The sequence below is a fragment of the Homo sapiens genome, chromosome 17 (genome assembly GCF_000001405.40).
Source record: "Homo sapiens chromosome 17, GRCh38.p14 Primary Assembly".
NCBI classification, from domain to species: Eukaryota; Metazoa; Chordata; class Mammalia; order Primates; family Hominidae; genus Homo; species Homo sapiens.
Window position 1 is genome coordinate 30061813 of NC_000017.11, and position 14602 is coordinate 30076414.

General features: G+C 40.3%; 1 protein-coding gene and 1 pseudogene across 16 annotated transcripts in view; both read left to right on the forward strand.

The window, feature by feature from the left end:
• EFCAB5 (EF-hand calcium binding domain 5) overlaps positions 1 to 14602 on the forward strand; it is a 178550-nt gene that overhangs the window by 131910 nt on the left and 32038 nt on the right. For 4 of the 16 annotated variants that reach the window (NR_026738.2, NM_001145053.2, XM_047435949.1 and 1 more), the window contains 2 exons: positions 11271 to 11386; positions 11836 to 12818. The exons of the other annotated variants lie outside the window; for them this stretch is intronic. Coding sequence is in view for 3 of the 4 variants with exons in the window: in NM_001145053.2 (NP_001138525.2) it covers positions 11271 to 11386; positions 11836 to 11878 (159 nt within the window). In the remaining variant the exon portion in view is untranslated. Of the gene's footprint in view, positions 1 to 11270; positions 11387 to 11835; positions 12819 to 14602 lie in introns of those variants that run through there. 16 annotated transcript variants of the gene reach the window in all.
• Positions 6757 to 7988, forward strand: STX18P1 (syntaxin 18 pseudogene 1; annotated as a pseudogene).

Here is a 14602-nt window from a genome sequence, read left to right on the forward strand (position 1 = left end):
CTGCCTCAGTCTCCCAAAGTTCTGGGATTACAGGTGTGAGCCACTGTACCCAGCCTCATTTCCCCTTTTATTCCTGTCTAATACAGCCTAATCTTTTGGGCAGAAACATCACAAATAAAAAGCTATAGAACATGTGGCCTGTCTGCATTGTTGAATTTAATGGAATAAGCCATTTTTTCCCCATTACTTTTCATAGGATAGCTATTAACATTCTTGGCTATGCCTTTTAATTTTCTATTTAAATGACGAAATTTGCTTTAATATGTTCATTTATATTCCAGTAGGACATTTAACTCTTTTATAATTAAAACATTTTGGAAACATTTATTTTGGTGACATCAGCAAGATGGCCAACTAGAAGCTCTTAGGGCCTGTTTCCCTCACAAAGACAAGCCAGAACAACAAATAAACAATTACATTAAGAAAAATAACTGAGGGAGAGTGCCATCTTGCATCAGAGGAGTAGCAGAAATCCTGGTGAGCCCAGAAACTCAAGATGGCCACATAGAGAACAGAAGGCGATGCCAGGTCTCCACTACCCCATCCCCCAACCAGGATCAGGTGGGAACTGGGAAGAACTTCTACCTATGAAGTGGAAGTAAGCAAGAGGATCCCAGCAACCCCCATTGACACCTTGGACACCTACACAGCTCACTACTGGGGTCCCCTGCAGTCCTCACAGGCATTAAGCCCAGCTGAGGGAGCTGCCTCTAGACCACATACCTGTGCTCTCCCCAGAAAAGACGCTGACATAGTGCCCTGACCCTTGTGGCCCGTGTGGCTACTGCACTACACCAGCTTGGGATTGGAACTACGGCTGGAGTGTGTCTTGCTCAGGGGTGAGTAGTCACGACACCCCTTCATCCCTGGGGCTAAGCCACCACCAAATCACCTCAGGCCAGTGGCCCAGCATCCTCAAGTGGAGCTGCAAGCACTCTTCCACATGAGGCCAAGTGGAGGTGGAGTCACTCCATCTACCGCTCCCTTCATTCCCTTGGGCCAAAGCTGAGGCAGTACTCTGCCTCCTAGAAAAACAATTCCTTGGCCACTCAAAGCAGTCATTCCTCCTCAGTGCCTAAGTTGAAGAAACTCCCTGCATCCCAAGAAATGGTGCCTTGGCCACTCAGAACAGTCACACCCCCAGCCCTGAGCTGAAGCAGCACATTGCCCTCTGGGAATTGGTACCCTGGCCAAACTGAGCTGCTACACATCCCAGTGCTGAGTTGACGTAGTAACCTGTGTCCCAAGGAAACAGAGCATTGGCTGAGCTAAGGAACTCTGCCCTACAGTCCAAACAACTCTAGTACCTGGCTTCTCTGGAGCTTTACTGGACTCTTAGAGTCTGAGTGGCTGAAATACCCATCTCCCTGGGAAGTGGAGTCACTGCTATTCTTTTCCTTGTACTCCCTAAGGCCCAAACAACAGCTGTGCTCTGCCTTTCTGGGTTACTTGCTGCCACCGTACCTGGTCTTATAGTGTCTTGGATAATGCTGAGCCCCACCATTCCATGGTCTTGTGTCACTACTACACAGTGCCTCATGCCCTGAGACCTGAGTTGCCTTTGAGTTTTATTTGCTTAGGTTCCCATATTGCAACCATATCGTCCTCCTGGGCCCAAACTTCCAGAGCAAGTTTTCTCTCTGGAGTCAGGCCAGTGCTGTGCCCTGCCCCCCAGGGGTAGAATCACAGCTACAGCCCAGCCTCCTGGGCTCAAGCTGCTAGGGGGTGCCTCAGAGTCACAGATCCTGTCTCTATGGGCAACCTACACCCAACCCTGCCACAGAAAGCAAACCTGCACCCCAAGAATCAGGAGCCACAGTAAGTTTGGGAGATCCTGTGCTTAGGACCCTAACCCGACACCTGCCCTGAGCACCTGCAACTGGAACCCAGTGCCACTGCAGCTGCTTATAGGCCATGTCAGACCTGACACCAAGAGGGATCCCCCTCAGCTAAGTTTCCCCATTGTGGGGAAAACAAGAGTAAGAGGACTCCAAAAGCCCTCAACATCAAGGACATTAATAACATATGCCGCTGCTGCTGCTGCCACAAACTTTCTACTGCCTAGGCCACTGAGGTGCTGACAGGTATTGCTGATGTTGAACACAGCTGAAGAAACTGCACAGAGACTATACCATTTCACCTATCTGGAAACAATGTCGCCATGTCCATCCCAACTAGCACACAAAATTTCAACTACAGGTGAAAATCTTCCTCTATAAAAGCCACTCTAGAAAGATTGGAAGAGACAATTGTTCCACCAAATAAACAGACATCAATGCAGGGACACAAGAAACATGATAAAGCAAGGAAATATGGCACTACCAAAGGAATATAACTCTCTAGTAACAGACACTGAAGAAAAGGAAATTAATTAATTGCCAGGAAAGGAATTTAAAATAATGATCTTAAGGAAACTCAACAAGACAAGAAAATTCAGATTGACAGTTCAACAAAATCAGGAAAACAAGTCCTCATATGAATGAGAAATTCAACAAAGGGATAGAAATCATAAAAAAGAAGCAGACAGAAACCCTGCAGCTGAAGAATTCAATGAATGAAATAAAAATACAATAGAGAGCTTCACCAGCAGACTTATTAATCAAGCAGAAAAACTAATCTCTGAACTTGAAGATAGGCCATTTAAAATTACCCAGTCAGAGAAAGAAAAAAGAAATAAGAATGAAAAAGAGTGAAGAAAGCCTACAATTATCACTATTAAGTGAACAAATATTTGTATTATGGGACTTCCAGAAGGAGAAGAGAAGGGAAAAGATGTTGAAAACCTATTTAACAAAATAATAGCTGGAAATTTCCCAAGTCTGGGGAGATATATGGACGTCCAGATCCAGGAAGCTCAAAATTTCCCAAATAGATACAGCCTAAAATTCCTCTCCAAGGCAAATTAAAGTCAAACTGTCAAAAGTCAAAGACAAAGAGAGAACTCTAAAAACAGCTAGAGAAAAGTATCATATAAGGGAAAGCCAGAGAAAAGTCACATAGAAGGGAATCACCATTAGACTAACAGTGGAGTCCCCATTAGAATAGCAACAGATTTTGTTGCAGAAATCTTAAAGGCCAGAACAGAATGGGGTGATATATTCAAAGTGCTGAAAGAAAAAAAAATTACCAACCAAGAATAGTATACCCAGAAAAACTATCCTTCAGAAATGAGAGAACAATAAAGTCTTTCACAGATAAGCAAAAACTTGAGGGAAATTATCACCACTAAACCGGCCTTACAAGAAATGCTCAAGGGAGCCCTATATCTGGAAGTGAAAATATGATAATCCCTATCATGAAAACATGCAAAAATATGAAACTCACTGGTAGAGCAGATACACAAAGGAGAAAGAAAAGAATCAAATCTTATCACCAAAGAAAACCAACACACTGCAATAATAATAAGAGGGGAAGAAAGGAACAAAGGATATAGAAAGCAACCAGAAAACAATTAACAAAATGACAGGAGTAAGTACTCACCTATCAATAATAGCTTTGAATATAAATGGATTAAATCCCCCATTTAAAAGATATAGATTAGCTCAATAAATTAAAAACATGACCTAACTGGCCAGGCGCGGTGGCTCATGCCTGTAATCCCAGCATTTCGGGAGCTGAGGCAGGCGGATCACAAAGTCAAGAGATTGAAACCATCCTGGCCAAAATGGTGAAACCCCATCTCTACTAAAAATACAAAAATTAGCTGGGTGTGGTGGCATGCGCCTGTAGTCCCAGCTACTCAGGAGGCTGACGTGGGAGAATTGCTTGAACCCTGGAGGTGGAGGTTGCAGTCAGCCGAGATTGCACCATTGCACTCCAGCCTGGGCGACAGAGCCAGATTCTGTCTCAAAAAAGAAAGAAAGAAAGAAAAAAACATGACCTAACTATATGCTGCCTAGAAGAAACTCGGTTCACCAGTAAAGACATATATAGACTGAAAGTGAAGGGATGGAAAAAGATATTTCACGTGAATGGAAATTGAAAGCAAGCAGGAGTAGCTATACTTAGACAAAACAGACTTTAAGTCAAAACTGTAAAAAGAGAAAAAGGTCATTATATAATGATAAAGAGATCAATTCAGCAAGTGAACAATTCTAAACATATATGCACCCAACGTCAGAGCACTCTGATATTATAAAGCAAATATTGTTAGATCTAAAGGGAGAGATAGACTCTAATACAATAGTAGTTGGGGACTTCAACACCTTACTCTCAGCATGGGACAGATCATTTAGACAGAAAATCAATAAAGAAACATTGGATTTAAACTAAACATTAGACCAAATGGACCTAACAGATATTTATAGAACATTTTATCCAACAGCTAGCTGCAGAATACACCTCTTTTTTTTCAGCCCATGGAACATTCTCCAGGATAGACCACATGCTAAGTCACAAAACAAATCTTATCAAATTTAAAGGAATTGAAATCATATCAAATATCTTTTCTGACCTCAATGAAATAAAAATAGAAATCAGTAACAAGAGGAACTTTAGAAGTTAAACAACATGCTCCCGAATGAGCAGTGGGTCAATGAAGAAATTAAGAAGGGAATTTAAAATTTTTTTTGAATTTTTACTTTTTACTTTTTAATTTATTTATTTTTTAAATTTTCTTCTACTGAGGTCCTATGCCATCATAAAATTTCTTGGAACAAATGAAAATAGAAACAGAACATACTAAAACCTATGGAATACAGAAAAAGCAGTATTGAAAGAGAAGTTTATAGAAATAAATGCTCACATCAAAATTGTAGAAAGCTTTCAAATAAACGATCTAACAATGCATCTCAAGGAATTTGGAAATCAAGAATAAACCAGACCCAAAACTGGTAGAAAAAAAGAAATAATAAAGATCAAAGCACAAATAAATACAATTGAGACCAAAAAATAACCAAAAAATCAACAAAACAAAAAGTTGGTTTTGTAAAAGATAAACCATATTGCCAAACCATTAGCTAGACTAACCAAGAAAAAAAAAGACCCAAATGAATAAAATTAGAAATGAAAAAGGAGACATTACAACTGATACCACAGCAATACACAGAATCATTAGTGACTATTACAAACTATATGCCAACATAATAGAAAACCTAGCAGAAATGGATAAATTCCTGGACACATACAGCCTACCAAGATTGAAGCAAAAAGAAATAGAAAACCTGAACAGACCAATCACAATTAACACGATTTAATCTGTAATAAAATGTCTCTCATCAAAGAAAAGCCCAGGATCTGATGGCTCCACTGTGGCTTTCTACCAAATATTTAAAGATTATCTGATATCAGTTCTTCTCAAACTCTTTTAGAAAATTGAAGAGGAGGGAATTCTTCCAAACTCATTCTATGAGGCCAGCATTATGCTAATACTAACACCAGACAAGAACACAACAACAACAGAAACAGAAATTATAAGCCGGTATCCCTAATGAACACAAATGTAAGAATTCTCAACAAAATTCTAGCAAACTGAATCCAGCAACACATTAAAAAGATCATTCACACAGAGAATAAAAGAAAGGCTGGGTGTGGCGGCCTTTACCTCTAATCCCAGCACTTTGGGGGGCCAGGGCAGGAGGCTCACTTGAGCCCAATAGTTTGAGACTAGTCTGGGCAACATAACAAGACCCTGTCTCTATTTAAAAAATAATAATAATAATAAGGAAATAAAAGATCATTCACCCTGATCAACTGAGATTTATCCCAATAATGCAAAGATGATTTAACATAAAATAACCATGATACATCCCATCAACAGAATAGACAAAAAATTACATGACTATCTCAATAGATGCAGGAAAAGCATTTGATAAATATTCAATATTCCTTCATGATAAAAACTCTCAACAAGTTAGGTTTAGAAGGAAAATACCTCAACACAAGAAAGGCCATACATAACAAAGGCAACATCATACTAAATGGGCAAAAGTTGAAATCTTTTTTTCTAAGATCTGGAATGAGACAAAGATAACCACTTTCACCACTTTTACTCAACATCTGTCTATTCTAGATGTCTTAGCCAGAGCAGTTAGGAAAGAGACAGAAATAAAGGGCATCCAAATTGGAAAAGAGAAAGTCAAATTGTCCCTGTTTGCAGATGACATGATCTTATATATTAAAAAACCCTAAAAGCTCCACCAAAAAATTATTAAAACGGATAAACGAATTCAGTAAAGTTGCAGGATACAAAATCAACATATAAAAATCAGTAGGCCGGGCGCGGTGGCTCACGCCTGTAATCCCAGGACTTTGGGAGGCGGAGGCGGGTGGATCACCAGTTCAGGAGATCAAGACCATCCTGGCTAACACGGTGAAACCCCGTCTCTACTAAAAATACAAAAATTAGCAGGGCGTGGTGGCACGCTTGTAGCCCCAGCTACTCGGGAGGCTGAGGCAGGAGAATGGTGTGAACCCAGGAGGCGGAGCTTGCAGTGAGCTGAGATGGCGCCACTGCACTCCGGCCTGGGCAACAGAGTGAGACTCCATCTCAAAAAAAGAAAAAAAAAAAATCAGTAGCATTTCTATACACTAGCAATTAACTAGAGGAAAAAGAAATTTAAAAAGTAACCCCATTTACAGTAGCTACAAAAATAAAAAATAAAATACATAGGAATAAATATAACCAGGGAGGTGAAAGACGTCTACAAGGAAAACTATAAAACGTTGATGAAAGAAAATGAAGAGGACACCAAAAAATGGAAAGACATCTCATGTTCATGGATTGGAAGAATTAATATTGTGAAAATGACCATACTACCGCTGTCACCAGCTGCTGACATGGGCAGGTCCCTTGTGGGGCTGCCTGTGCGGGTCGCTAGGGCGGTGGACATCACGCTGCTATTCCGGGCCAGCGTCAAGACCGTGAAGACGCAGAACAAGGCACTGGGAGTGGCAGTGGGTGGCAGAGTCGATGGCAGCCGGGATGAGCTGTTCCGCAGGAGTCCCTGGCCCAAGGGCAACTTCTCCAGCCGGGCCCGCGAAATGATTTCTCACAGTGGCAAACTGAGAGATTTTCTTCTGGAACACAGGAAAGATTATATTAATGCTTATAGCCATACCATGTCTGAATATGGGAGGATGACAGACACAGAACGAGACCAAATAGACCAGGATGTCCAGATATTCATGAGGACCTGTTCAGAAGCAATTCAACAACTACGAACAGAAGCTCACAAGGAGATACATTCCCAGCAAGTGAAGGAGCACAGGACTGCTGTTCTGGATTTCATTGAAGATTACTTAAAAAAAGTGTGTAAACTTTACTCAGAACAAAGAGCCATCCGAGTTAAAAGAGTGGTGGATAAGAAAAGAATATCTAAGCTGGAACCAGAACCAAATGCAAAGACAAGAGAATCCACATCTTCTGAGAAAGTTTCACAGTGTCCTTCAAAAGACTGAAGAAAACCCTGCCACTGAAGAACATCCAGAAAAGATTTTGACTGAAAGACAACCTGAATTGGGAACATGGGGAGATGGCAAAGGTGAAGATGAGTTATCCCCAGAAGAAATACAAATGTTTGAACAGGAAAATCAGCGACTAATTGGTGAAATGAACAGCTTGTTTGATGAAGTGAGGCAGATCAAAGGGAGAGTGGTTGAGATTTCCAGACTTCAAGAGATATTCACGGAAAAGGTTTTGCAACAGGAAGCTGAGATTGATGGCGTTCACCAGTTAGTTGTGGGGGCAACTGAAAATATCAAGGAAGGCAACGAAGACATAAGAGAGGCCATTAAAAACAACGCTGGCTTCCGCGTATGGATCCTCTTCTTCCTCGTGATGTGCTCCTTCTCCTTGCTCTTCCTCGACTGGTACCACAGCTAGCCTGGGCCACGGGGGCCCAGCACGAGAGTCTGCATGGGCGCTCACAGGCTGTGTACTCTCATGTACCCGCCGTAGTCTCATGTACCCCCGGTGCTGGAGCATGGTATGACCACATTTTATCACAGAGCCATTTTAAGAGAAAGGGGTTCAGACAGACGGACATATTCCCCAAAAAGGGATACCCAGGCCGATAGTGTTCAGCCCATTTCGCAGCTGAAAAAGAAAACACTGCACACCAATGGGAAGTGGCCTATGTAGCTATCATAAGGCTAGACAAACTGAATGCTGGAGCTGGTGATTAGCTGCTCCTGAACTTGAGGCCGCCTTGGCAGGGGGGGCTGCTCCAGTAGCAGGGGCACAGCAGGCCTCCAGAGCCCCCAGTTGTCTCAGGGTTCAAAGGAAGTCACTGACCTTTCCCATCCCAGTAGCTTCAGGGAAGAACATAGTTTAATAACGTCTCTCAACAAATGATTACTTCTTTGTTTCCTTGTGGCTTCTTGTCTGTCTGAGTCAACCAATAAACAGACTCACTGGATTATAGAAAAGAAAATTCACATTTGCCTTATTAATCTAATAAATACAATTACAGCCCCTTAAAAAAAAAGAAGAAAAAGAAAATGAAAAATGACCATACTACCAAAAGCAATCTACAGTTTCCATACAATCCTGATCAAATACCAATAGCATTTTTCATAGAAATAAAAAAAAATTCTAAAATTCATATGGTATCACAAAATGCCATGGATAGCCAAAATAATCCTGAACAAAAAGAACAAAGAGGCATCACACTATCAGACTTTAAAATATACTACAAATGTCTAGTTACCAAAACAGCATGGTACTGGCATAAAAACACATAGACCAATGGAACAGAATAGAGAACCCAGAAAGAAATCCATATATTTACAGCCAACTGATTTTCAACAAAGGTACCAAGAACATTCATTGGGGAAGGGAGAGTTACTTCAACAAATAATGCTGGGGAAATTGGATGTTCATATGAAGGAAAATAAAACTAGACCCCTATCTCTCGGGCCAGGCACTGTGGCTTACACCTGTAATCCCAGCACTTTGGGAGGCTGAGGCAGGTGGATTACCTGAGATCAGGAGTTCCAGACCAGCCTGGCCAACATGGCAATACCCTGTCTCTACTAAAAATACAAAAATTAGCCAGGCATGGTGGCACGTGCCTGTAGTCCTAGCTACTCGGGAGGCTGAGGCAGGAAAATTGCTTAAACCCAGGAGGCAGAGGTTGCAATGAGCCGAGATTGCGCCACTGCACTCCAGCCTGGGTGACAGAGCGAGATTCCATCTCAAAAAAAAAAAAAAAAAAAAAAAAAAAAATTCAATTTAAAATGGATCAAAGACTTAAATGTAAGACCCCTAGACTATGAAACTACTGAAGAAAACATGAGGGAAACACTTCAGGACATTGGTTTAGGCAAATATTTTATGGGGAAGACCTCAAAAGCACAGGCAACAAAAGCAAAATTAGACAAGCGGGATTCTATCAAACTTTTAAAAAGCTTCTGCAGTGCAAAGGAAACAATCAATGGGGTGAAGAGACAACTTGCAGAAGGGGAGAAAATATTTTCAAACTATTCATCTGACAAGGGATTAATATTCAAAATATATAAGGAACTCAAACAAAGCAATAGCCAAAAAAAGAAAAAGAAAAATCAAATAATTCAAATTTAAAATGGGTAAATGAGCTGAATAGACATCTCTCAAAAGAAAATAAAAATGGCCAACAGGTATTTGAAAAAATGCTTAACATCACTAATCAGGGAAATACAAATCAAAACCACAATGAAGTATTATCTCACCCTGGCTAGAATGGCTATTACTAAAAAGACAAAAAATAACAAATGCTGGCGAGGATGCAGACAAAGGGAAACTCTTATACCTTGTTGGTGGGATGTAAATTAGTAGAGCCACTATTGAAAACAGTATAGAGGTCCCTCAAAACACTAAAAACAGAACTACCATATGATCTAATCTCACTCAAAGTATATATCCAAAAGAAAGGAAATAAGTATGTTAAAGAGATTTCTACATTCCCATGTTTATTGCTGCATTACTCACAATAGCTGAGATATGAGATCAGCTTAAGTGTCTATCAACAGATGAATGGATAAAGAAAATTTGGTCTATATATACAATGGAATAGTATTTAGCCACCAAAAAGAAAAAAATCTGTCATTTGCCACAACGTAGATGAGCTTGGAGGGCATTGTGTTAAATGAAATAAGCCAGGCACAAAAAAGATAAATATTACATGTTCTTACTCATATGTTGAAGCTAAAAAAGTTGAGCTTATTTAAAGAGAAAGTAGAATAGTGATTACTAGAGACAGGGAAGGTTAAGGGTAGAGGGGATATCCAAAGGTTGGTTAATGGATACAAAAGTACATCTAGATATGAGGCGTAAGTTATAGTGTTCTATAGCACTGTAGAGTGACTATAATTAACAGCAATTGGTTGTATATTTTCAAATAGCTAAAAGAGCAGATTTTGAATGTTCCCAACACAAAGAAGTGATAAATGTTTGAGGTGATGAATATGCTCATTATGCTGATTTGAGTATTACATATTGTCTACATGTGTTGAAATAACACTCTGTACCCCATAAATATGGACAAGTATGCATCAATTAAAAATAATAAAGGCAAAAAATACAGTTGGAAGTAATAAAACATTTATTTTGAAACAAAACAACAACAACAAAAAACATTTTGGTGATACTTTTTGTCACAAAGTTACAGAAACCATGAAAATTAAGAACCATAGTTATTTAAAAGTCTCATTGAAAAGTACACAAGAGTTTTTTAAAGAAACTGAAAACTGGATAAGTAGCTAGCATAAAATTCCTGATGCTATTCCTTTGCTCTGGAACTCTGGAATAAAGAATCTCTAAGAAACTCTTCCATCTTTCTTTGATTTCCATAACCTTGACACTTTTGAAGATTATAAGTTGGTTGCAGTATGTCCTTCATTTAGATTTATCTACTGTTTCCCCATGGTTAAATTCAGGTTATTCATCTTTGTCAGAAATATATCACAGAAGCAATGCTGTGTTCTTCTTATTGTATCTTATCAAAAGTCCTATAGTAATAACGTTGACCAGTTGATTAAGATTATATCTGTCAGGCCCCTCCACTTTAAAGCTACATTTTTCCTCTTTGTAATTAATAAGTATTTAATGGGTGTCCATTGAAACCATATAAACCATTCTTCCTTTTTGTCAACTTTTCATTTATTCATTTATAGCAGTATGTATTCATGGTTTCCTTTTTTATTCAATGGGTTATATTCCAATATTATCACTATTTGTTTTGATACTCATATTGTCCCAGTTTTAGACAATGGGAGTTCTTTCACTCTGCACTCTGGCTCCTGTGTCCTCCCCTCCCCATGCCCAACCTTTATTTTTTTTTTTTTGAGACCAGGTCTCACTCTGTCGCCAGGCTGGAGTGCAGTGGCGCAACTGTAGCTCACTGCAGCCTCCAACTCCCGGACTCAAGCGATCATCCCATCACAGACTCCTGAGCAACTGGGACTACAGGTGTGCATCATCAGGCCTGGCTAATTTTTCTAATTTTTGGTATGGATGGGGTCTCTCTGTGTTGCCCATGCTGGTCACAAACTCCTGGCCTTAAGCAATCCTCTCACCTCAGTCTCCCGAAGTGCTGGGATTACAGGCATGAGCCACCATGCCCGACCCCAGCATTTCAGTATGAAAACTGTCAAAGATGGCAAAGCTGAAAGAATTTTACAGCAAGTACCTATATACCCACAACATAAATTCTATCATTAATATTTTACCTCACTTTTTAATCTGTCTATTCATCTCTCTGTCCCTCTCTCCTTCCATCTCTCTTATTTTTGATGCATGTGGTCCATTTTAAGTAAATTATAGAAATCAATACATTTCTCCCTAAATACCTCAGCATGCATATCATTCATTAGAGTTCGATATTTGTTAACAGCTTTTTTCTTTCTTTTTGCCCGTAGGGAAAGAAGGAAGTTTTTTCCTCTTGAGACCAAATTTCCATAAAATGAGATGCAAAAATTTTAAGTGTATATTTGCTGAGTTTTGACAAATACATGCCCTATGCATCCCATACTCCTATCAAGATACAGAACAAAGAGCACTGTGACACTCACCTGTAATCCCAGCTACTCAAGAGGCAGAGGCAGGAAGATTGCTTGAGCCCAGGAGTTCAAGATCAGCCTGGGTAACATTGCAAAAACCATCTCTTAAAAAAAATAAATAAAAGATATAGAACAAAAAAAGTCCCCACACCTCTTTCCCATTCAGTCGTCCACCCTCCAATCCCCAAAGCAACCACTTTTCTATTTTCTACCATAAATTAGTTTTATCTCTTCTGGAATTTCATAAAAATGAAATTATACAGTATGCATCTTTTTTTACAGAGTTTAAACTCTATGTACTCTTTTTGTAAGGCTTCTTTCACTCAGCATAATTTTTACTTTTTTAAAAATTTTTTGGGGGAGACAGAGTCTCACTCTGTTGCCCAAGCTGGAGTGTAGTGGCATGTGATCATAACTCACTGCAGCCTTGAACTCTTGGGCTCAAGCAATCCTCCCGCCTCAGCATCCCGAGTAGCTGGGAGACTACAGGTGCACACCACCATGCCTGGCTAGTTTATAAACTTTTTGTAGAGACAAGGTCTCACCATGTTGCCCAGGCTGGCCACTAACTCCTGGCCTCAAGTGATCCTCCCTCCTTAGCCTCCCAAAGCTCTGAATTATATTCATAAGCCACTGGGCCTGGTTGACTCAGCATAATTTTTCTTGAGAGTCTTAATATGTTGCTACATGTATCAGCAATTTGCTTCTTTTTATTGCTGAGTAGTATTCCATTGTATGAATACACCATGGTTTGTTTATCCGTTTTCCTATGTATGGACACCTGGGCTGTTTCCAGTTCTTAGCTATTATAAATAAAGCTACTCTGCACAATCTTAAGTAAATCTTCTGGTGAATATGTTTTCATTTCTTATTAATAAATACTTAGGAGTGGAATTTCTAGGCCACAGGGTCTATATATGTTTAGCTTTATAAAAAACTGCCAATTTTCTGCATCCTTTTAACATGCATCCCTCATTCTTTGAGCACGTCCTTGCTTTCTGGCACAAAGAGATCTTCCAGGTTGATCTTATATTTTCCCTGCTTTCACCCTGGAATTATTCATCTCCCCAAGCCAGCATCTGGGTTCTACATGTGCTCATTACTCATGAGTCTCCTCTCTCAGATTTCTCAGTGGACAGATGTAGAAACTGTGTGTGTGTGTGCGTGCATGCCTGTGTATGTAAATGTATGTACACATTTATATCTGTACATACCTTTCTGTCTACTAATATTAAAAACCATGAGTTCACACTGGTAATTCCAAGTCTAATCCAACACAACAGGGTTCATTCTAGTTTCTTCTCATTCCCTTTTGTAGTTCCCTTTTCTCTGGTTTGTGTTAACCTAAATATATTTATTTATTTGATCAATCCCCCAATGAATCCATTAGTTCTATATGGAACTAATCTCCCATCACTGTCGCTGTCCTCTCTTCCACACTGATTTCCTTCTTACTACATTTAAGTTTTAACATCTTGCACTAATCGGCCCTTCCCACATGGCTATCCTCCTTACTCTGCTTAGGTTCTGACACCCCTCAACAGATCACCCCCTCCAAGTGGATGCCCTTTACATAGTCCTTAGGCTCTGACACTCCATGCCAAGGCACATTTTCATGTGGATTCCCTTGTCAATTCACTCAGGCTCTGACTCCTTATGCTGAGCTGACCCCCAGCCTATGTGGATGGCCCTTCCATGTAGACACCCTCCTCACCCTGTTTAGGTTCTGACTTCCCAGGCCAGGCCATCCCTCGATTTGGATGCCCTCCTCACCCTGCTCAAGATTAAACACCCCATGTTGGGCATCCATCTCATACGGATACCCTGTTTGTACTGCTTGGAATCTGACACCCAAGTTAAACCACCTCTCTGTAAGGCCAGCGTCTTTACCCACATGGACTGAAGGTTGCCCTTCCACATGGATACCCTCCTCGCTCTGCTCAGGCTCTGACAACCCATGCCCAGCTAACCCTGCACAGATTTGGGCCCTGATACCCTGCTAGGTGCCACATTGGCTTCACCTGTCCAGAAACAGATGCTTACCTTGCTCTGCCCCACCTAATGGCTTTAGGATCAAATTGTTCAAGGAGGCAAAAGAATGAAAGGGGAAAAAGAAGAAGAAATGGAAGATGAAGAATCCACAAGGCACTTTTAATCTAATTGAGGATTGTACTAGTTAAGATCCTTTTGGCTCAAGTAAGAGAGAACACAACCCAAAGTGGTTACACATAAGAGGAACTTATTGGTTCATACAATGAAAAAGTCCGGTACTAGTTTAGGACACAACTAGATTTGGGAGTCCAAATAATGACATTAGGACAGCTGTCTGGTTCTTTCTCTTTGTCTTGCTCTCTTCTGTTTTAGCTGCACTATCATAGAACCTCTACCTTTGTGGTAACCAGGTCCAGTTTCACATGCTCACAGTTTCATTCAAGTCCAATGGAAATAAAAAAGAAAGTGTCTTCTTCCTAATCATTCAATCAAAAAGTCTGGCATTAGTCTGTACTAAACCAACCACTCTGGCTAAAGGAATAGAATGTCATGACTGGCTTAAGCCTAAGGCACATGCTCCACCTCTAGAACTATGAGTGGAACCCCATTCAAACACATGATCAGAGATGGGAAT